This window comes from Homo sapiens, chromosome 15, assembly GCF_000001405.40.
Source record: "Homo sapiens chromosome 15, GRCh38.p14 Primary Assembly".
Taxonomy (NCBI): Eukaryota; Metazoa; Chordata; class Mammalia; order Primates; family Hominidae; genus Homo; species Homo sapiens.
Genome location: NC_000015.10, coordinates 40,793,547 through 40,815,370, shown reverse-complemented (window position 1 = coordinate 40,815,370; position 21,824 = coordinate 40,793,547). Strand labels below are relative to the sequence as shown.

At 49.3% G+C, this 21,824-nt stretch overlaps 2 protein-coding genes across 9 annotated transcripts in view, besides 6 other annotated features; one reads left to right on the top strand and one right to left on the bottom strand.

Moving 5' to 3' along the window:
* Positions 1-286: 286 nt before the first annotated feature.
* ZFYVE19 (zinc finger FYVE-type containing 19) lies at positions 287-8,282 on the bottom strand. 7 transcript variants are annotated; one of them, NM_032850.5, is made up of 12 exons: positions 7,958-8,282; positions 6,993-7,116; positions 6,131-6,252; positions 5,913-5,963; positions 5,401-5,519; positions 5,155-5,300; positions 4,614-4,722; positions 2,469-2,672; positions 1,954-2,033; positions 1,560-1,658; positions 1,301-1,428; positions 287-1,223 (listed from the first exon to the last, which is right to left on the bottom strand). In NM_032850.5, the coding sequence occupies exons 1-12, from the start codon at positions 8,080-8,082 to the stop codon at positions 1,145-1,147; spliced, it is 1,386 nt and encodes a 461-aa protein (NP_116239.3). In that variant the 5' UTR covers positions 8,083-8,282; the 3' UTR covers positions 287-1,144. The 7 variants fall into 7 exon arrangements, 6 of the variants coding, with proteins under 6 accessions (NP_116239.3, NP_001070736.1, NP_001245350.1 ...); NM_001077268.2 differs by lacking the exon at positions 6,993-7,116 and having other exon boundaries at positions 7,503-8,282; NM_001258421.2 differs by lacking the exon at positions 6,993-7,116 and having other exon boundaries at positions 7,700-8,282.
* Positions 7,250-7,299: an enhancer, noted in NCBI's record as "active region_9266". NCBI's record gives its function as "activates an Ori minimal core promoter by ATAC-STARR-seq in GM12878 lymphoblastoid cells {active_cell/tissue: GM12878}" and the evidence as "EXISTENCE:reporter gene assay evidence [ECO:0000049][PMID:35858748]".
* DNAJC17 (DnaJ heat shock protein family (Hsp40) member C17) overlaps positions 7,898-21,824 on the top strand; it is a 42,313-nt gene continuing 28,386 nt past the window's right edge. For both annotated transcript variants that reach the window (NM_018163.3, XM_047432788.1), the window contains exon 1: positions 7,898-8,002. In NM_018163.3, the coding sequence (NP_060633.1) occupies positions 7,925-8,002 (78 nt within the window). In that variant the 5' untranslated portion in view covers positions 7,898-7,924. The remainder of the gene's footprint in view (positions 8,003-21,824) is intronic.
* Positions 7,930-7,979: an enhancer, noted in NCBI's record as "active region_9265". NCBI's record gives its function as "activates an Ori minimal core promoter by ATAC-STARR-seq in GM12878 lymphoblastoid cells {active_cell/tissue: GM12878}" and the evidence as "EXISTENCE:reporter gene assay evidence [ECO:0000049][PMID:35858748]".
* Positions 8,020-8,069: an enhancer, noted in NCBI's record as "active region_9264". NCBI's record gives its function as "activates an Ori minimal core promoter by ATAC-STARR-seq in GM12878 lymphoblastoid cells {active_cell/tissue: GM12878}" and the evidence as "EXISTENCE:reporter gene assay evidence [ECO:0000049][PMID:35858748]".
* Positions 8,530-8,619: an enhancer, noted in NCBI's record as "active region_9263". NCBI's record gives its function as "activates an Ori minimal core promoter by ATAC-STARR-seq in GM12878 lymphoblastoid cells {active_cell/tissue: GM12878}" and the evidence as "EXISTENCE:reporter gene assay evidence [ECO:0000049][PMID:35858748]".
* Positions 15,107-15,648: an enhancer, noted in NCBI's record as "NANOG hESC enhancer chr15:41091921-41092462 (GRCh37/hg19 assembly coordinates)". NCBI's record gives its function as "activates a minimal SCP1, AML or CMV promoter by ChIP-STARR-seq in naive H9 embryonic stem cells {active_cell/tissue: H9 hESC(naive)}" and the evidence as "EXISTENCE:reporter gene assay evidence [ECO:0000049][PMID:30033119]".
* Positions 21,486-21,780: a silencer, noted in NCBI's record as "tiled region #2594; K562 Repressive DNase unmatched - State 8:EnhW". NCBI's record gives its function as "represses a minimal TATA promoter and a strong SV40 promoter by Sharpr-MPRA in K562 cells {active_cell/tissue: K562}" and the evidence as "EXISTENCE:reporter gene assay evidence [ECO:0000049][PMID:27701403]".

Here is a 21,824-nt window from a genome sequence, read left to right as displayed (position 1 = left end):
AAGTCACTTGGCTGTGCCCACACACCTCATCCATCCATCCATCCAAAGGACTCAAGAATTCAAAGACGAAAGTCACAGCTCCACTTCAGAGAGATCACAATCTAGCAAGGCCTCGGGGCCAAGCAGACATTATCTGCCTAAGGTACACAGCCTACTGGCATAACCAACAAGAGGGACGCCAATGGCAAAGACTAGTTTCAAATCCCAGAGAGGAAGTAACAGGAAAAACCTAGCTGGATCTGAGAGCCTCAGAAAAGGCTCTTCCAACCAAAAGTGATGCAGGAGGTAGACCTCAGCCCGAGGGCTCTTTATAGTTGGTTCCAGCCAGGGGCAGGAAGAGAAACAGCAGAGGCAATGCAGAGGCATGTAAAGGGTACATGCCGAGAGGTCAGGGGTCCGGTTAGGGCGCATTACTGGAAGAGAGATACTGAGACTGAATGGCAGGCAGGTTGGGACAGGAGCCCTAGGAGCTGGGGTCCTTTGCCAGTAAGGCAGGAAGCAGGGTGTGTGTGCATTGTTCCTGCGTGCATTGTGTGAGTAGTAGAGAGGCTGAGAAATCCAAGATGGTGGGGACTGGTGGCTAAGTGGGGCTGCCCAGAGCTGGAGCACAGTTGAGTTGAATGAATACATGTTTACTTCGTATGAGGCCACCAGGATGGGTAGGGCTGTTCCTGCCTGGAGAAGTTCATAGGATGGCTCAACCTTTTCCCCCATTCCCCACAACTGTGCTTACAGCCTGCTCTGTTCCTGCCACCTCTCACAGGGCCCAGGCTCATAGGGTTGTAGAAATGAGATGCTGGGCCCAATGAATCAACATACTTTATTAGACCCACTAAGTGCCAGGGGAGGGGCCTGTGCCCTAGAGCCAGGTTACAGGGCTCACCCGTAGATTCAGTCTGGTCTCTCCCCATCATGCCTCTCACTTCCAGTCTGGGCTTCTAATAGGAGGGCCCCGACTTCTTCCCTCCCAGTCATTCTCTCGAATGGAGAATCTTTCCTCATTCCAGGGACACCAAGGCTCAGGAAGGGGCCTATCCATCATCAGTAGAGCCAGACAAGCTCTCCCATCGGACGTCCTGTGGCTGGGCCCAGAAATGGGTGCCGCTGCCTGTGGGACTGCCCTTCCGGGAGGACCAGGGTGTCTTCAGTGCTCTTGGCCTGCACGTGGAGGAGAGTAGGCAGATGTCTGGTGCTCTTTAAGCTCAAAGGCATCATGGCCCTCTCTGTGGAACAAAGGGATACAAGTCAGGGATCCAGGCAGCCCTTGAGCTCTCGCACAGAACATTCCACCTGCACCCACCGGAAGCAGCGGGCACAGAAGAGGTCCCCATCGCAGCCAGCGCAGCGTAGGGTGGCATCCTCATTGCAGATGCAGCACCAGGGGAGCTCCTCTTCCTCAGCCTCAGGCCTGGGGTCCACATCCTGGGCCTTCAGGGATCAGAGAGGAATGGAGGAAGTAAGGTACCCAGTGGGGTATGTGAGCTGCTGCAGGAGCAGTCAGCCAGGCAGGAAGCAAGGCTGGGGGGAGCCTGGGGGTCTGCATCTGGGGCTTTTCTCACCTCAGGCTCTGCCCCGCGGGGTTGCGTCCAGGGTCGAGAAGCCTGCTCTGCAGGGATGTTAAAGCCACTTGCCTCATCCAGGGAAGCTTCTTCAGTGAGCTGCGGACAGGGTGAAGATGTACTACTCCCCTGCTTCAGGCCCAGGCCCTCCATCTCCCAGTATTTCTGTGCACTGTGGACTTAGCTTCTCAAACTCATCTTTTTCTTTACTTGTGGCCTGTGGCTGCTGATTCCCTATCTCCAGGGACCAGTGGGCAGGTCTGGGTCTGGGTCACAGGAGGGGGCCCAAAGAGAACAGGAGCTTCACAGTTACTGTCCACCCAGCCCCAGAGTAGAGGTGGGGCAATGAGGCGGAGACGGGACAAGGGGTGGCAGGTGGGTAATCCAGGCCCACCTGCTGCAGGACTCTTTGGATGGCTGTCTCCTCATCCTCGTCGTCATCACTGTCTGGGAGGCGATAGTCCTGGAGGGTCACTTGAAGAGGGAGACATGGGAACAGGGGATGGGGGAGTGAGAGTGAGAGATTTCACATGAGTGGCTGCCCTCCTGCCTCCCAGAACTGGTTCGGTTCCCAGGGGCACTTATTCCAGAGCTGAGAAGCCTCTTCAGCCACCCTGATGACCTGTCCCTGCCTGCCCCAGCCCTGCAGGGCTGGGCCATCACTGAAGCAGGCCTGAGGGCTAGGTTGGGGGCTGGAGCGAAAGCCTCAGCCCCTGAATGGACTGAAGGTCCCCTGCCCTCATGGCTGCCCCTGACTCCTCACCCACTGCTTTGCTCTACCACCTTCCTTGTGGCTCTGGGCTGGGCTCAGTAGATCTCTGGGCGCAAATACCCCCAGCACCTGACTCAGCCCTGCCAGGGAGGCCTTGACCAAGGGATACCAGTGAGCAGCTGCTCCCCAGCCTTCACCTCTCTCGGGGTCCTGTCCCCGCAGCATGGCTAGTCGCTTGGCCAGGGCCAGAATCCGTTCCTGCCTCGTGTTCTCCTCCCGCAACTCAAGTGCTGCCTCAGCCAGCAGTCTGCTCTTCTCCTCCTCCAAGGACCAGTTGGCCTGCCTCTTGGAATTAGTGCTCCCTGGGCCACCCTGGTTGAGATCATTCTGGAGAGAGGCAGCTGGAAGGGGTAATGCCATCAGCAAGGCCGAGACATCCCAGTATCTCTCCTCAGAAGCCAATGAGCCCATTTCTCAACCTTTTCTTTTCTTTTTCTTTAATAATTTTTTCTTTCTTTCTTTCTTTCTTTCTTTCTTTCTTTTTTTTTTTTTTTGAGATGGAGTCTCGCTCTGTCACCCAGGCCGGAGTGCAGTGGTGCAATCTCAGCTCACTGCAACCTCTGCCTCCTGGATTCAAGCGATTCTCCTGCCTCAGCCTCCTGAGTAACTGGGATTACAGGCACGTGACACCATGCCCGGCTAATTTTTGTATTTTTAGTAGAGACGGGGTTTCAACATGTTGGTCAGGCTGGTCTCCAACTCCTGACCTCGTGATCCACCCGCCTCAGCCTCCCAAAGTGCTGGGATTACAGGCGTGAGCCATCATGCCCAGCTTTTCTCAACCCTTTCTAATCACAGATCATCAGCTTTTTGCTCAGCACTAGCGCCTATGGTTTCTATCACAAATAAAATTAGTATTCCTCCATTTTTCCAAATGTAAAAAACTAATAATTTTACCCATGTCTTTTCCAACCACATCCATCCCCATCTACCTGATATTTTAACATTCTGCCCTAAGGGTGGGCGTCCTATGGTTTGAGAATCACTGCCCTAAAGGATCAAGACATGATAAGGCCCAGGTTCAGCCGATCTCTTTGCCTTTCAGGGCAGGAATTAGCATCTCCTGGGATTAGCACAGAGAGGGCAATGAAGGAAGCTAAGAGCTTGTATATCACTGGGCAGGAAGAATTTTACCAGATTAGGTGTGGCTCTGACACAGTCACCTTCAGTTTAGTGTTTCAGAGCAAGAGGTTTAAAATCACAGCTTTAGGTTTAAGTCTCATCTCTGCAGCTTAATAGCTGTGTGACCTTGGTCAAGTTCCTCAAGCTCACCAGGCCTGTTTCCTCATTTATAAAAAAGAATAGTATGTACCTTATAAGATTTTTTTTTTAAACAGAGTCTTGCTATGTTGCCCAGGCAGGTCTTAAATTCCCCAGCTCAAGCTATCCTCCCTCCTGCCTCTGCCTCCTTAAGTGCTTAGGATTACAGGCGTGAGCCACACCTGGCCTCATAAGATTATTGAGGATATTCAATGAGATTGTGCCTCTAAAGCAGGACTTCTCAATCTTAGTTCTCTTGACACTTTGGACCGGGTAATTCTTCATCATGATGTGCTGTCCTGTGACATAGTAGATTTAGTAGCATCCCTGGCTTCTATCCTGTAGGTGCCAGTAATATCCTCTGGGTTGTGACAACCAAAAAGTCTCTAAATGTTGCCACAAGTAGCCTGGGGGCAAAATCATCCTTTGTTGAAAACCACTGCTCTGAAGCCTTCAAACAGCACTGTCCAACAGAATGTTCTATGATGATGGAAACATTCCATATCATGTTCTATATCTGTGCTGTCCAAGATGGTAGCCATGAAGCCCATATGGCTACTGAGCATTGAGATGTGGCTGGTTTTACTAAATAGCTTCTTCCTCCTTATCAACATCATGATTGCAGAGAATATTCACTGAGTACTCACTATGAGTCAGGTATGTTCCCAAGCACTTATTGGATTATCTCGTTTACTCCTCCTGATTTCCCTGTGAGGTAGGTTTTTCCATACATACCTTCATTTTACACATGAGGAAAGTGAGACTTAGGTCAAGTAACTTGTCCAGCATCACACAGCTAATACGTGGTAGAAATGGGAATCACTGTCTGATTCTAAAGCCCGTGCACTTAAACACTAGGCTTACACTGGCTCCCTTTGGAGTAAGCACTCAATGAATGGTAACTCTTATAACGTTGATCACTCTCCGATTTATATTCATCTCCCAGAGGGTGGACAGCAGAGCCTCTCCAGTCTGGGGAAAGAGGTAGGGCAGATTCCTAGGGAGCCAAGTGGAGGGGTTACCTGGGCCTCCTCCTTTCCAGCTTTCATCGATAGCCACCTCAGCTGCCAGCTGCGTTAGCAGATCCTGTGTCTGCTGGGCTTGGGTCCTGGTGTCCGGTGTGTGATGTGCCTGCACAGACGAGGAAACCTCAGTGGAGAGCAGGGGTAGCCCAGAAGCAGTCTAGGTCAGGGATGGATGCTAAGTAGTTCTCAAAGCCCAGGGAAAGGAGAGGGATCCAGGGCCCACATAATCAAGTAGGTCTGGCCGTCCCCAACAGGACTGAGGGGCCACTTTTTCCTGCCCTACCCTATCGTGCTGTTTGTCCCTGGTCCCCGGGTCTGGTAGCAGGCCTGAGGATCAGGAGGTAGGGGTGGGAGGCTTTGCCAACTCCTGCAAAGTACATAAAGTACAAAGGTTGGTGCAAAAGTAACTGAGGTTTTTGCAATTAAAAGTAATGACAAAAACCACAATTACTTTTGTATCACCCCAATACCTGTATCTGGGCTTCTGCTGGGTCCTCCCGCTAGCACCCCCGCTTCTCTCCTAAGCCATAACACTCACCGGCTGGGGGGTTTGAGAAGGTAGAACTCTGCCCTGCAACGCTGCAAGTCGTGCCTCCATTTCCTGGGTGGAAGGGATGGAACCCTGACGTTCATCCTTTAGGGCAGCCAGCCGTGCCTCTATCTCTGCCTGTGAGGGGACTAACTCTGCAATTGGCATGGGGGGAGCCTTGTAAGGGCCAGAGGCATCTCAGTCCCAGAAGCCCTGGACTGTGTCCTCTAGGCAACCCCATCTGCCCCTGCTCACTGGGCTTGTTCTCCTGGCGGAGTCGTGCTAGGCGCTCAGCAATCATCTGGTCTTGTCGTGTCAGTCCCTGGCTCTGGGAAGTGCTGGGCTTTTGCTTGGCTTCCAAGGCTGCCACACGCCTGGCAGGATATGAGATAGAGGCTCTTGAAGAAGGCAGAGGGGAAGAGTGAAGGCACCCACTCACTGTTTCCCATTCAAATCAAATCATTTCTGGGCACTTAGGGAGGCCTCCAATGGGCAATCTGCTGTGCCCCTCACTCATGTCACCCTGCAGCCCAACCTGGCTGACCAGCCAGACGGTCCAGCTGAAAGGACAAGCTCTACCAAGTGCCTGTCCTGGAGAGAGGGCTGAAGAGCTGCTTTACCAGCCCAAGAGGGCAGTCAGGAGCCAGAGAGGAGAGAATTCTCCTGATTCTGTGCTCATTTTATCTAGAAGATGGGGGCAGGGTCTTTCCCTATGGCTCCCTTATCCTTTCCCCAATGCTCTTTGTCTTTTTCTCTTCAGCACTTACTTCTTATAGTTCTGAGGTGGTGACCACTTGGAGGCATTGGCAGAAGACCCTCTACAGAGAAGAAATCTAGTGTTATAAATCCTGCCATCCCACCAGGCAGTGCCCCCCACTCCAAACACTTCCTCGGCTGACTCTCGCGACAGAGTACAAAGCTGTGAGGGCTGGCCAGATGCCCACTGCCATACTTGGCTGAACTTTCACCCATGCCTGCCTCTTACCTGGTCAGGACCTCATGGCATTGCTTGCAGACTTTCTGTTGGGTGTTCCCAGTCCGAGGCACTGCTGCACTGAAGCTTAGGCAGCCTGAACAGAAGGCCCTGCCACAATTCTTACAGCCGTACTACAAGAAACATGAAGCGGGAGATCCCCCTCTCACCCGCCCCTGCAGGCTGCTCCCAGGGACTCTCCAAGCACACACAGAGAGAAGTCACTGAAGTTATGACCAGCTGCTGGGAGGAAGAAGAGGAGTGGGGCCCCTAAGGCCTAGGGATGGTGAGTAAAGCAATTCCTCGGTTTCCAGTACCTTATTCAAGCCAAATGAAGGTTTATACAAAATTCCCATGCTTTCTACCCTGTCTTCAATTCCCTGACCCAGGGATGTAGAAGACAGATAGATAAAGCCCAGTATTTCAGGCCACTGACTCTTCCACAAAGGAGAATCAGAGAGACAGGGCAGAGCCGATGCCTCCTCTGCTCTTGCAGAGATGGAGGGAGGCTTGGCTCAGGATGGGCTAACAATAGCCTCCATTTATTAAGCACTTACTATGTGCCAGGCACTAAACCCAGTACTTAACATTCATCATGTGATTTATTCCTTACAATTTACACACATTATTTTACTTAATCTTGATGCCAACCGTGATTATCCTTATTTTGAGAGGGCCAGAGAGGTTACATAACTTATCCAAACCAAGGTCACCGCCTCAATAAGACAGCAGAGCTCAGATTTGAACGCTGACTCCAAAATCCAGGTTGGTGAATGCTGCACGGTCCTGCCTTCCTGCGTGACACTAATTTACTCCATCTAGTTCCCATCATCTCCTGGTCAGAATCCCTGGCCACAACTGAGGCAGAGGGAACCTGCAGTTTACCAGAGGAATCTGGCAGGTCTGTGATAGGGACAGGACAGTCAGCCTTCACCATGGTGCCCCGGAAGCAGGAGGAAGTGTGGTAATCTAACTCCAGCGACCTGGAGAAGGGCAGGCTGCGGGATGGGGAAGATTTCAGAGCAGAGGGAGTAACGGGCTTGGTGTGATGGACACCGCGCTTCGGAGGAGCAGGGTGGAGAGAAGAAAACCGCCAGATGCTACACTGGGCCGACAGAAAAGAGTAGCTTTGCAAAAACGACGGCAGCGCGCTTTACAGTTTATAGGGAACTCTCACCTAAAGCACTTCAGTGGACCCTCACATAAACCCTGAAAGCGAGAGAATGTTAGCCCCATTTTACAGAAATGGAAACTGAGGATCAATGACTTCATCAAAACCACACAGCTGGAAAGGAGCCGTAAGACCAAGTCTTTGGACGTTAAGTCCCGCGCTTTTCCCTCCTCTCCTCCCTGGCCCTGCAGCCCTCGGGGAGGGAAGACTCGCCTCCTTCTTGAAGAGGGTGAACTTGACAGCGCAGCCGTAGCACCTACTCTCCATGGTGGCTCCCAGCACCGCAGGGTCTGCAGAGCTGAGATCACGCCGGCCAAGTCCTGGGCCCCTTGGACCCTCACCCCAGCTCCGCCCTTCCCTTCCCTGCCCTGCCCCGCCCCACACGCCCACTGGCACTGTCCCGCCGCGACCTAGAGCAGGGAATCCGGACGCTCTCCTGCAGCCAGCGTACGGCAGCGGCGGCAACGGGGGCTGCTGGGAGTCGTAGTTCATTCACGACTGCCGGCCTCCCTCAGAGTCAGTCAAGCCTGACCCAGAACACAATTCCCAGAGGGCTAGGCGCCGCTCGGAGCCTGCAGTCCTCACGCGCGCTTAGACTCTTGGGAGTTGTAGTACGAATCCGTCAGGCCGGAACCATGGCAGTGACCAAGGAGCTCTTACAGATGGACCTGTACGCGCTGCTAGGCATTGAGGAGAAGGCAGCGGACAAAGAGGTGAGAACGGTGGCGAGGAAGGCTGATCTTGAGAGGTCTGGCGGTCCTTCCTGTCCTAGCGCCTCGGCCACTGCTGGCATCCGCTCTCCAGGTTCATTCGGGTCCTGGGCGGGGAGCGAGGGTCGGCGCTATGCCCTCCGCAGGCGGGCTCCCAGACATTTCCTGGACGGTCCGAGGGCCTCAAGAGGAAGCGGGGTACAGAGGGCTCTTCGCGCCGGGTGGCTGTGCTCTCCCCGTGGCCCCTGTCTCCTAGAGGCCGCGGGGCGAGGCAGCAAGGAACGCTAGCCTCCTCTGCGCCTGCGCAGTCTCGGCCTCCGTTTCCGCTTCTGCCTTGACTGTGACAAGAGGTGCCTCATTTCAGTCTCTTCTGCAGGCTGATTTAATTCTTCCACTAAGAGCCTAGAACGAAAGAAAAGTAAGATCTCAAAGCCTCTCCACTCCCTTTTCATGCCCCCTTGCCAATGTGACCGATGACCCTGCTGTCTCTATTTTCTTTTCCACTCAAGCCCATTGACTCTTTTCAAGTAGCTGATGCCCTTCTCAGCATGTGCTAGTTAGTGGGCTAAAAGCAGGAGGATCAGAAGGTTAAGGCAGATGGTATAGAGGTCCATGCTACCTTAGGTGGTGATAAAGATGCCAGGGAGTGAAACACTGATCAAGCTGGATTTAGGATTTCTTTTATCTCCCCCTGGATCATGGTGGTAGTTTTAACAATATACGAAGGAGAGGCGTTCATCAAATGAAAATTAGTGCCCAACTGAGCCGAGATCGCGCCACTGCACTCCATCCTGGGCGACAGAGCAAGACTCTTTCTCAAAAAAAGAAAGAAAGAAAGAAAATTAGTGTCTACTAGGCCGGGCGCGGTGGCTCACGCCTGTAATCTCAGCACTTTGGGAGGCCGAGGCGGGCGGATCATGTGGTCAGAAGTTCGAGACCAGCCTGACCAATATGCTGAAACCCCTTCTCTACTAAAAATACAAAAATTAGCCGGGCGTGGTGGCACACACCTGTAGTCCCAGCTACTTGGGAGGCTGAGGCAGGAGAATCACTGGAACCCGGGAGGCGGAGGTTGCAGTGAGCTGAGATTGCACCACTGCACTCCAGTCTGGGCGACAGAGCGAGACTGTCTCAAAAAAAAAAAAAAAAAAGGAAAAAAAAATAGTGCCCACTAATGTCCCAGTACTTCTGGGCTGCCCTGCTCATGGGGTGAGTGAGCTTTTGAGAAGAGGAAGCTCTGGGGCAGAAAATCAGAGAGACCCAGAGGGCCCTTGAGAAATGCTGTCAACCTGCACAAATCTGTCCCCTGCAGCCGCAGCTGAAATCAGAAATGGCCATGGGATGTCTATGAAGCATCAAAAGCATCTGCTCCACCTCTCTCGTGTTTCAATATTTTAGGATTAATAATTCCTAACATCTGTATAATGCTTACTATGTCCTAGACAGTATTTTTTTTTTCTGGATAGTATTCTAAGTGCTCTATGTTTACAAATTATTATTTTTTAAATTCTTTATTATTATTATTTTTTATTATTGTTTTTGAGACGGAGTCTCGCTCTGTGGCCCAGGCTGGAGTGCAGTGGCGCGATCTCGGCTTACTGCAACCTCCGCCTCTCGGGTTCACGCCATTCTCCTGCCTGAGCCTCTCCAAGTAGCTGGGACTACAGGCGCCTGCCACCATGCCCGGCTAATAATTTTTATTTTTAGTAGAGACGGGGTTTCACCGTGGTCTCGATCTCCTGACCTCGTGATCTGCCCACCTCAGCCTCCCAAAGTGCTGGGATTACAAGCGTGAGCCACCGTGCCCGGCCTATTATTATTTTTTGAGACGGAGTCTCGCTCTGTCGCCCAGGCTGGAGTGCAGTGGCGCAATCTCAGCTTACTGCAACTTCTGCCTCCCAGGTTCAAGCGATTCTCCTGCCTCAGCCTCCGGAGTAGCTGGGACTACAGGCATGTACCACCACGCCCGGCTAATTTTTTTTTTTTTTTTTTTTTTGAGACAGAGTATCACTCTTTGGCCCAGGCTGGAGTGCAGTGGCATGATCTCGGCTCACTGCAACCTCCGCCTTCCTGTTTCAAGTGATTCTCCTGCCTCAGCCTCCCAAGTAGCTGGGATTACAGGCACCCGCCACCACGCCCAGCTAATTTTTGTATTTTTAGTAGAGACGGGGTCTCACCGTGTTGGCCAGGCCAGTCTTGGATTCCTGACCTCGTGATCTTCCCACCTCGGCCTCCCAAAGTGCTGGGATTACAGGTGTGAGCCACTATGCCCTGCCTGCAAATTATTTAATTAGTACTTTATTAATAGTGAGAAACTATTTGAGACATTTCACAAAAGATCCAAGTGGGAAATCTGGAGGGTTTTTTTTTGAGACGGAGTCTCACTCTCTTGCCTAGGCTGGAGTGCAGTGGTGCAACCTTGGCTCACTGCAACCTCTGCCCCCCAGGTTCAGGGAATTCTCCTGCCTCAGCCTCCTGAGCAGCTGGGATTACAGGCATGTGCCACCACACCCAGCTAATTTTTGTGTTTTTATCAGAGACAGGGTTTCACCATGTTGGTCAGGCTGGTCTTGAACTCCTGACCTCAAGTGATCTGCCGGCCTTGGCCTCCCAAAGTGCTGGGATTACAGGCGTGAGCCACCGCGCCCGGCTGAAATCTAGAGTTTCTAACCCTGAAGTTGAGAACTCCTGAGGAAGTCAGTTGGAAGTCATTCTCTATTAATTAGAGAAGTTACATAATCAGATTTTATTTTTTTTTTATTTTTATGTCTATTTTTTGAGAAAAGATCTCACTGTCATTCAGGCTGGAATGCAGTGGCACAATCACAGCTCACTGCAGCCTCGACTTCCTGGGCTCAAGTGATCCCACCTCAGCCTCTCATGTAGTTGGGACTGCAGGTGTGCATCATCATGCCTGGCTAATTTGTTTTGTGTTTGTTTTTGCTTTTTTTTTTTTTCCAGAGACGGGGTCCAGCTATATTGCCCAGGCTGGTGTCGAACTCCTGGGTTCAAGCTATCCTCCTGCCTGGTCTCCCAGAGTGCTGGGATTGCAGGCATGAGCCACTGTGCCCTGCCCATAATTGGATTTTAAAGAAAGTATTTGACTGAGTGTGATGGCTCACACCTGCAATCCCAGCACTTTGGGAGGCCAAGGTGGAAGGAACGCTTGAGGCCAGGAGTTTGAGACCAGCCTGGGAAACGTAGTGAGAGCCTGTCTCTCTCTCTATATATAAAAAAAAAAGCTGGGCAGGGTGTTACGCACCTGTAGTCCCCGCTACATGGGAGGCTGAGGTGGGAGGATCACTTGAGCCTGGGAAGTTTCAGTGAGCTATGATTTTGCCACTGTATTCCAGCCTGGATGACAGGGTGAGACCCTGCCACTCTTAAAAAAGAAAAGAAAATTCAACACTAGTGTGCATAATGAAAATGGGTGGGGGTGGGAGGAATGGAAGAGCTGCCACTAGGGGGTCAGATGGGGCTGGTGTCTAGGCAAGAGACCAAGGTCTGAGCTGGGCAGTGGTGGCTGGGATCCAGTTCTAACTCAGATGAGATAAGGGATAGGTGTGAAGCCACTCTATAAAGGGTAACAGGTGCTGCTCCTGCCTTTAATGGGGGGGCAAGATTCACGCATACAAGGGAGACATGGTGAGTTCCTTAAGAGGGGTACAAAGTGCTGTGGATGTTCAGTGTAGGCTGAGATTGCTATTAGTTTGAGAGAAGGAATAAAGGCAGGAGAGAAGGTATTTGGGGCCTTGAAGAATGGGCAGAGTTTGGACATGTGGAGATGGAGGCAGGGCATTCCAAGAAAGCAAATGTATATATTAATACATACAGTCTATTTTGGAGCATAAGTAGGTGGCACCCTCAAAGAGGCCTTACCTATTTTTCTTTTCATAGCAGCCATTCTCCTTTCTAGCACTTACTCCCATTTACACTTTGGATACACTGGCTAGCTTCATGGCAACACACTTTTTGGTAGAAAGCAAGAAAAACCTAGGCCCTGGTGTCCCCGCACCATGGTTTAATACCTGTCATAGACAACCTAGGTTGCTGCCATAGGGCAACCTAGAGGACAAACAAATATTTAAAGTGTATACAAGGAAGAACTCCTAAACTGGTTGTCCAAATAGCCTAGGAGTTCTCAATTTGCCCTCTACAGAAAGGCTCCAGGAACTGGGTGAAGGAACCTCTGAAAATCATGCGTGATTTTTTTTTTTTTTGTATTTATTCTGGAGGAGAGGAGGACTTTTTTTTTCTTTTTTTTTTTTTTGACCCAGGGTCTCTCTGTGTTACCCACGCTGGAGTCAGTGGCATGATTACTGCTCACTGCAAACTCTGCCTCCTGGGCTCAAGCAATCCTCCCACCTCAGCCTCAAAAGTAGCTGGGACCACAGGTGTGCACCGCCATGCCTGGCTAATTTTTGTATTTTTGTAGAGATCGGGTTCCACCATGTTGGCCAGGTTGGTCTTGAACTCCTGGGTTCAAGCAGTCCTCCCGCCTTGGCCTCTGAAAAGTGTTTGGGTTATAGGCATGAGCTACCACGCCTGGCCAGAGGAGGGAATTTTAATCCAAAAGTCAAAGAAGCCCTAATGGAGGCCAAGCTCCCTGTGTTACTGATGGCGAAACTGCAGCTCGGAGAAGGTGGTTAGTGGCAGAATTGGGACTAGAACCCTGATGCCCTGATGCCCTGATGCCCTGATGTCCAGCTCAGGCCTCTGCTCCTTCTGCTAAGGCTCCCTGGCCCTGTCCAGCGCGGTTCAGTGGTAGTGATGAGCACCACCACCAAATTTAACTTGTGTTCAGACTACTTCTCTGAATCTCAAATCTGTGTATCTATCTGCCTGTTTGATCCCTCCATGTGGATGTTTCACAGCGGTCTAAATCTTACTACATCCAAAAATTGGCCAGGCGCAGTGGCTCATGTCTGTAATCCCAGCACTTCGAGAGGCCCAGGCAGGCAGATCACCTGAGGTCAGGAGTTTTAGACAGCCTGGCCAACAGGGTGAAATCCTATCTCTACTAAAAATATAAAAACTAGCCAGACGCGGTGGCACGTGCCTGTAGTCCCAGCTACTGGGAGGCTGAGGCAGGAGAATCGCTTGAACCTGGGAGGCGGAGGTTGCAGTGAGCTGAGATCAAGCCACTGCACTCCAGCCTGGGTGACGGAGCTAGAATCTGTCTCGAAAAAAAAAAAAAAAAAAATTGAACTCTTTCAATTCTCTCTCCAAACCTGCTCCTTCCTTGGATTTCCCCATCTTGTGGCACCACCATCCATCCATTCAAGCTAGGAACCTGGAGTCATTCTCAGTACCTCCCTATCCTCTCACCCCTGCCATCTAGAACATCACCGGGTCCTGATGAGTCAGCCTCCCAAATAATCCCCAAACCTGTTCACCCTCTCTGTCTCCACCACTACTGCTCCAGCCCAGGCCCCCATCCACTCAGCTGAATGTTTAGAGGAGCCTGCCAACTTTTTTCTGCTTTCAGCCTATTCCATTCTGATCTATTGAGCCTCTCCAATTCTCCTCACAGAAAATGGAATGATCTTGCTACTCCCTGAAAACCCTATTTAGCACTTCTAATAAAATACTCAATAGAATTTCTTTTCTTTTCTTTTTTTTTTTTTTTTTTTTGAGACGGAGTCTCGCTCTGTCACCCAGGCTGGAGTGCAGTGGCTGCAAGCTCCGCCTCCCAGGTTCACGCCATTCTCCCGTCTCAGCCTCCTGAGTAGCTGGGACTACAGGCGCCCGCCACCACGCCCGGCTAATTTTTTGTATTTTTAGTAGAGACGGGGTTTCACCATTCACAGGATGGTCTTGATCTCCTGACCTCGTGATCCGCCCACCTCGGCCTCCCAAAGTGCTGGGATTGCAGGCGTGAGCCACCGCACCCAGCCAATACTCAACAATTTCTTAGCTCATTCATACATTTTCCTCTGCCAGGAATGCTCTTCCTCCCCTTCTGCTAATCTGGGTTGCTTTTACTTGTCCTTCAGAACTCAGTCGAAATGGCATCCTCAGAGAAGCCTTGCCTTATATTCTATTTCATGGCAGCTGGTTTTTCTTTTTTCTAGCACTTATTTCAGTTTGCAATTATGTATTTATCTGTGTGATTATTTGTCTCATGCCTTAATCCCCTCTGCACTCCTACTTCTGAGGACCAGATCTGATTCATGCTCTTCTGTAGCAGCCCCTTACCTGGTGACTGGCACATAGTAGGTTCTCAATAAGTATTTGTTGAATGAATGAAGTAGTAGCTAAAGAGACCACTGCAACGACTTTACTTGAGAATCAGGAGACCAAGGGCAGTCACTGCGTCTCTCAGGACCTGACTTTCCCCAAATGTAAAATGAAGGAGTAGGGCAAACTACAGTTTGAGGGGCCAAATGGCCCATGACCTTTTTTTTTTTTTTTTTGAGACGGAGTCTCGCTGTCGCCCAGGCTGGAGCATGGTGGCGCAATCTCGGCTCACTATAACCTCTGCCTCCCAGGTTCAAGCAATTCTCTGCTTCAGTCTCCGGAGTAGCCGAGATTACAGGCTCCTGCCACCACGCCTGGCTAATTTTTATATTTTTAGTGGAGATGTGGTTTCACTCTCTTGGCCTGGCTGGTCTTGAACTCCTGACCAAAGTGCTGGGATTACAGGCGTGAGCCACCGTGCCCAGCTGACCTTTTTTTTTTTTAATGGCTTATGTGCTAAGAATGGGTTTTACATGTTTAAATGATTGTAGAAAAAAAAACACAGCTCAACAACCAAAAAAACAACTCGGTTAAAAAATGGGCAAGCCAGGAGTTTGAAGTTACAGTGAGCTCTGATCACGCCACCATGCTCCAGCCTGGGTGACAGAGTGAAACTCTGTCTGTAAAAAAATTAAAAAAAAAAAAAGAAAAAGACAATCTCAATAGACATTTCCCCAAAGATGATGTACAAATGGTCAATAAACACATGAAAAGATGCTCAACTTCACTAGTCATTAGGTAAATGCAGATCAAAACCATGTTGAGGCCAGGTGCGGTGGCACACGCCTGTAATCCCAGCACTTTGGGAGGCCGAGGCAGGTGGATCACCTGAGGTCAGTAGTTCAAGACCAGCCTGCCCAACATGGTGAAACCCCGTCTCTACTAAAAATACAAAAATTAGCTGGGCGTAGTGGCAGTTGCCTGTAGTCTCATGTACTCGAGGAGGCAGGAGAATTGCTGGAACCCAGGAGGCGGAGGTTGCAGTGAGCCGAAATCGTGCCACTGCACTCCAGGCTGGGTGATGGAGCAAGACTCCATCTCAAAAAACAAACAAACAAAAACATGTTGTGATACCACTTCACACCCATTAAGATAGCTATTATGAAGACAAAAACAACAACAACAACAAAAAAAAAACCCTGGTGTGATGGCTCATGGAGAGGCTAATGTGGGAGGATTGCTTGAGCCCAGGAGTTCCAGGCTACAGTGCGCTATGATTGTGCCACTGCACTCCAGCCTGGATGACAAAGCGAGACCTTGTCTCTAAAAATAAAAAGTAAAAAGAGAGAGAGAGAAATAAATGTTGGTCAGGATGCAGAGAAATTGGAGCCCTGTGCATTGTTGGTGGTGCAGATAATGTTAAGATGGTATGGTGAGTCCTCAAAAAATTAAACATGGAATTACCATATGACCCAACAATTACCATATGATTCATATGGTAATTAAATATAGAAGTAATATGATCCAGCAACAGAAACAAACACAAAACAACAAAGGAGAATATACAACAAAGACTATATGTAGCTCCCTAAAATTTTTACTCTCAACCGGGGGCCTTTACAGAAAAATCTGCTCATCCCTCTTCAAGTTAGGGACAAGTTCAACTCTGCCTTTCTGTACACAGAACTAGCCTTTCTGCAAATGTTCTTCCCTCATATCACAACAAACCTAGCAGGCCAAAAGTGAGCTAAACACCACCTTTCATGGGGATTTAACAATCAGCCATTCTCCTTGTTCCCCATCCAGCCCTAGAGGATACAGGCAGGGCATGGTGTGGTTTTTTTTTTTGTGGGAAAGCCTTAAGTTGAGGACCTGGGTTTCGGGTGGAAGTGCTCCTAGGGAGAGGATCAGTCTGCTAGAGCCTGAAGCAGCGAGCACCAAATTCTTTTTTTTTTTTTTTTTTTTTTGAGATGGAGTCTCGCTCTGTCGCTCAGGCTGGAGTGCAGTGGCACGATCTCGGCTCACTGCAAGCTCTGCCTCCCGGGTTCACACCATTCTCCTGCCTCAGTCTCCCGAGTAGCTGGGACTACAGGCGCCCGCCACCACACCACCATGGCTAATTTTTTTTGTATTTTTAGTAGACACGGGGTTTCACCGTGTTAGCCAGGATGGTCTCTATCTCCTCACCTCGTGATCCGCCCGCCTCAGCCTCCCAAAGTGCTGGGATTACAGGCGTGAGCCACCGCGCCCAGCCAGCAAGCGCCAAATTCTTACACACACACTCACAAGGCGGGGCACCACGGCTGCCAGAATGAAGGATTAAGTCGTGAGTTAACGCTGTTTGCAAACCTTCAAGAGAGATTCCAAAGTAATCTCAGGAATTACCTGAGTGACTGCAGTGACCGTCTAATCCTTTTCCTATTTCTGTTCTTGATCCTTTTCACACAGCAGCCAGAGTGAGCCTTTATAATGTAAATCAGATTTTGTCACCTCTGGTCACAACTCCCAGTGGCTTCTCTCAGTCTTAGAATGAAATCTGAAGTCCTTCCCCTGGCCCACGCGGCCCTTACTGCCTGTCCTGCACGTTCCCTGCCACCACTCTCCCCTTTGCTGACTGTGCTCCAGCCACATCAGTCCTCCTGATATTTCCTACAACATTGTGATAAATAATGTATTTAACGCAAAATTTACTGCTTACCATTTTAATCCTTTTTGATTAAAGGATTCACTGGCATTAAGTACATTTACATTGTTGTGCAGCCATCACCACCATCCATCTCTACAACTTTTCCATCATTTCAATCTGAAACTCTGTACTTAACAAAGAGTGACTCCCTGTTCCCTCCTCCCCCCAGCTCCTGTGAACCACTCTTCTACTTTCTTTCTCTATATGAATTTGACTATTCTATGAACCTCATATAAATGGAATCATGCAATATTTGTCCTTTTGTGTCAGGCTTATTTCGCTTAATTAACATCATGCTTTCAAGGTTCAGCCATGTTGTAGCATGTGTCAGAGTTTCCTTTCTTTTTAAGGTTGAATAATATTCCATTTTATGTATATACCACATTTTGTTTATCCATTCATCTGTTGATGAATATTTTGGTTGTTTCCAGCTTTTGACTATTGTGAGTAATGCTAGTATGAATGTGGGTTAGAAATTTGTTTGAGCCAGGTGTGGTGGCTCATACCTGTAATCCCAGCACTTTGGGAGGCCAAGGGTGGTGGATTGCCTGAAGTCAGGAGTTCAAGACCAGCCTTGCCAACATGATGAAACCCTGTCTCTACTAAAAATAGAAAAACTAGCCAGGCGTGGTGGTGGGTGCCTGTAATCCCACCTACCCAGGGGGGTGAGGCGGGAGAATTGCTTGAACCCAGGAGGCGGAGGTTGCAGTGAGCCGAGATTGTGCTACTGCCCTCCAGCCTGGGCGATAGAGCAAGACTCCATCTCAAAAAAAAAAAAAAAAAAAAAAGAGATCGGCCAGGTGCGGTGGCTTACACCTGTAATCCCAGCACTTTGGGAGGCTGAGGCAGGTGCATCACCCAAGGTCAGGAGTTCAAGACCAGCTTGGCCAACATAGTGAAATCCCGGCTCTACTAAAATACAAAAATTAGCTGGGCATGGTGGCGGGTGCCTGTAATCCCAGCTGCTAGGGAGGCTGAGGCAGGAGAATCGCTTGAACCCAGAGGCGGAGGTTGCAGTGAGCCAAGATTGTGCCATTGCACTCCAGCCTGGGCAATAAGAGCGAAACTCCATCTCAAAAAAAAAAAAAGAAAGAAATCTGTTTGAGTCCCTACTTTATGAATTTTTTGTGGTTGATGAAACAGGGTCTCGCTCTATTGCCCAGGCTGGAGTGAAATTGTGCGATCACAGCTCACTGCAGCCTCAACCTCCTGGGCCCAAGCAGTCGTCCCACTTCAGTCTCCTGAGTAGCTAGGACAATAGGCATGTACCATCATGCCCAGCTGATTTTTAAATTTTTTGTAGAGATGGGGTTTTGCTATGTTGCCCAGACTGGTCTCAAACTCCCGGCCTGAAGTTATCCTTCTGCTTTGGCTTCCCAAAGTGCTAGGATTACAGGCATGAGCTACGATCCCTGGCAGAGTCCCTACTCTAATTTCTTGTTCTAGTGTGGTGGATAATGCCTGTAATCCCAGCACTTTGGGAGACTGAGGCAGGAGGATTGCTTGAGCCTAGGAGCTTGAGATCAGCCTGAGCAACACGGCAAAACCCTGTCTCTACAAAGGAAAAAAAAAGAAAAAATTAGCTCATTGTGGTGGCGCACGCCCGTAGTCCCAGCTACTTTACTCGGGAGGCTGAGGAGGGAGGATTGCTTTAGCCCAGGGGGTCAAAGCTATAGTGAATTGAACCACTCCACTCCAGCCTTGGTGACAGAGTGAGATTGGGTCACAAAAACAAAAACAGTTCTTTTGATATATACCCAGAAGGAGAACTGCTAGATCATATGGTAATTCTATGTTTAATGTTTTGAGGAACTGACATACCGGCTTCCACAATGGCTGTGCCATTTAACCTTCCCACCAGCAATACACAGGAGTTCCATTTTCTCCACATCCTTTCCACACTTAAATTTTCTGTTTTCTTTGGATAATAACCATCCTAATAAGTGTGAAGTGGGCCTCCTGTGATTTTTTTCAAACTCACCTAACACATTCCTGATTTTCAGGGCCTTTATACTTGCTAATCCTTCTGCTAGAAAATTCTTTCTCTGGGCAGTTATCTATCTCCCACACCTAATTCAGGTTTCCATTCAAATATCATCTGCTCAGAGAGGCTTTTCCTGACTACCTATTTAAATGAGCTAGCCCCACACCCTTATCTGCTATTTCGAAGTAGATCTCACTACTACACCTTATAGTACATGCCCATTTGCTTACCATTGCTCTCCCATTAGAATGTAAAAAATCCAGGAAGGAAAGGACTTCCTCTGTTTTGTTTACTACTATGTCTCCAGCACCTAGAACAATGCCTCGCCCTTGGTAGATGCTTAATAAATCTTTGTTGAGTGATTGATGAACATGCATTCTTATTTTCTTGGGCAGTAATATTTTATGATGTAGTGAAATTATTAGACTGAGAGTAAATATATTTACAAGCTTTTGGTTTATAATGCAGAATTGCATTTCAGAAAGGTCATACTGACCTATATTCCCACCCGGTAGGTAGGAAGTCTTCCATCTTTCCACTTGCAGCCCTGACTCTAGAAAGCAGCAATGCTGTGCGCTTGGTGCCTTGCCCAGAGCAGGCACTCACTGAACCTATTTTATTTTATTTTTTGAGACAGAGTCTCACTCTGTCGCCCAGGCTGGAGTGCAGTGGCACGATCTTGGCTCACTGCAACCTCTGCCTTTCGGGTTCAAGCGATTCTCCTGCCTCAGCCTCACAACCTGGGACTACAGGTGCCCACCACCACGCCCAGCTAATTTTTGTATTTTTAGTAGAGACGGGGTTTCACCATGTTGGCCAGGCTTGTCTTGAACTCCTGACCTTGTGATCCGCCTGGCTCAGCCTCCCAAAGTGCTGGGATTACAGGTGTGAGCCACCACGCCCAGCCCACACTGAACCTTTATTAAATTAAACTTGATAGTGTTCTGCCTGGTTCTTTTTCATTTCCCTTCCTTTTCTCCATGAGTGTTTTAGAGGAGGGTTGAAACATTTCCCATAAACAGCATTTTTATTAAGTGCCTATTGTGTGTCAAACTCTGAGCCTGGTGCTAAGGAAACAGATGTGAAGAGAAGCGGTTTTAGGGCCCCCACATCTTGTTTGTTTCCATCTTTTCTGTCTCTTGCTCCTGGGGCCCATCATTTTGAAATGCAGAGGCTAACGTTGGCAGTTCTTCTAGAAATTCATATTTTTCTTCCTTCCCTCCCCCCTCCCTTCCATCCCTTCCTCCCCTTCCTCCCTTCCTTCCTTTTTTTTGAGACACCATCTCCCTCTCCCGCCCAGGCTGGAGTGCAGGGGCGTGGTCATGGAAGCAATCCTCCCGCCTCGGCCTCCTAAAGTGTTGGGATCACAGGCGTGAGCCACTGTGCCCAGCCGAGAAGTTTATGTTTTTTAATCAGCTGATGATTTCCTAGAGAGGAAGTTGGTGCAGAAAATAACAGTTTTTCCAGAGAGGAGCAAGAGTCGGCTAAAAATATATATTAAAAATAAACTTACGGTGGCTCATGCCTGTAATCCGAGCACTTTGGGAGGCCGAGGCGGGGGGCTCACCTGAGGTCAGGAGTTCGAGACCAGCCTGGCCAACACGACGAAACCCCATCTCTACTAAAAATACAAAAAATTAGCTGGGCTTGGTGGCAGGCGCCTATAATCCCAGCTACTCAGGAGGCTGAGGCAGGAGAATCACTTGAACCCGGAAGGCAGAGGTTTCAGTGAGCCGAGATCGTGCCACTGCACTCCAGCCTGGGCGACAGAGCAAGACTCCGTCTCAAAAAATAAATAAATAAATAAATTTAATAAAGAGAGTAACCGTTTTTATTTTTGTTTTTTGTTTTTTTAAAGATGGTCTCGCTTTGCCCCAGCCAAAGTACAGTGGTGCAATCATAGCTCACTGCAGCCTTGACTTCCTGGGCTCAGGTGATCCTCCCACCTCAGCCTCCTGAGTAGCTCGGCTTACAGGTGTGCACCACCATGCCAGGGTAATTTTTGTATTTTTTGTAGAGATGGGGTCTCACCATGTTGCCCAGACTGGTCTTGAACTCCTGGGCTCAAGTGATCCTCTGGCCTTGGCCTCCCAAAGTGCTGGGATTACAGGCATGAGCCACTGTGCCCAGCCGAAAGTAACAGGTTTTGTTCTTGTTTTTGTTTTTTTTTCTGAGATGGAGTCTCATTCTATCCCCCAGGCTGGAGTGCAGTGGCACAATCTCAGCTCACTGCAACCTCTGCCTCCTGGGTTCAAGCAGATCTCCTGCTTCAGCCTCCTGAGTAGCTAGGATTATAGGCATGCACCACCATGCCTGGCTAATTTTTGTATTTTTAGTAGAGATGGGATTTCACCATATTGGTCAGGCTGGTCTCAAACTCCTCACCTTGTGATCCGCCCGCCTCGGCCTCCCAAAGTGCTGGGATTGAAAGTAACAGTTTTTATAACTATCTTTAATGTGTAAGGCTAAGAATTGTTGCTTGTTGCATCTACCATGTGTTGAGAATAGATGGAAATCATGATACAGATGTTAGAATTGTAAATGTGCCTTCATAATCACCTTTGTACTTATTAGCAGTTATAGTTAAGAAAGTGGACTTTGGAGTCAGATTGCCTGGATACTTGCCCCATGACCTAGTTTGTGACCTGGAGCAAATATTTAACCGCTCTGTACCTTGGTTTCCTCGTCTGCAAAACGAGGATGATGATAGTCTGTCCTTGATCGCATTGTTTTGAGGCTTGATCCACGTAAGCATTTGGCACAGTGCCTGGCATAGAGTGAGCGCTCACTATGAGTCAGTTCTTGCTGTTTTCATTGTGAGTCCATCTTCCTTACACTGTAAGCTTGGAAAGTCAAATATGAATCGCCCCCAGCTTGTGTCCAAGGCTGCCCTCCACCTGGACCCCTTCTTTACTCACTCCATTCCTGACACATTAGTGCTGAGTCACCTAACAGCAAATCAGTGATTCTCAATT

Excerpts from the sequence above, each read along its gene's own strand:
- ZFYVE19 (NM_001077268.2), bottom strand. The coding sequence starts at position 7,781 with ATGAACTACGACTCCCAGCAGCCCCCGTTGCCGCCGCTGCCGTACGCT. Across the intron at positions 5,301-5,400 it reads CCGCCAGGAGAACAAGCCCA|AGTTAGTCCCCTCACAGGCA; the intron begins GTGAGCAGGGGC and ends TGCCAATTGCAG. Across the intron at positions 2,673-4,613 it reads CTGGAAAGGAGGAGGCCCAG|CTGCCTCTCTCCAGAATGAT; the intron begins GTAACCCCTCCA and ends TACCCCTTCCAG.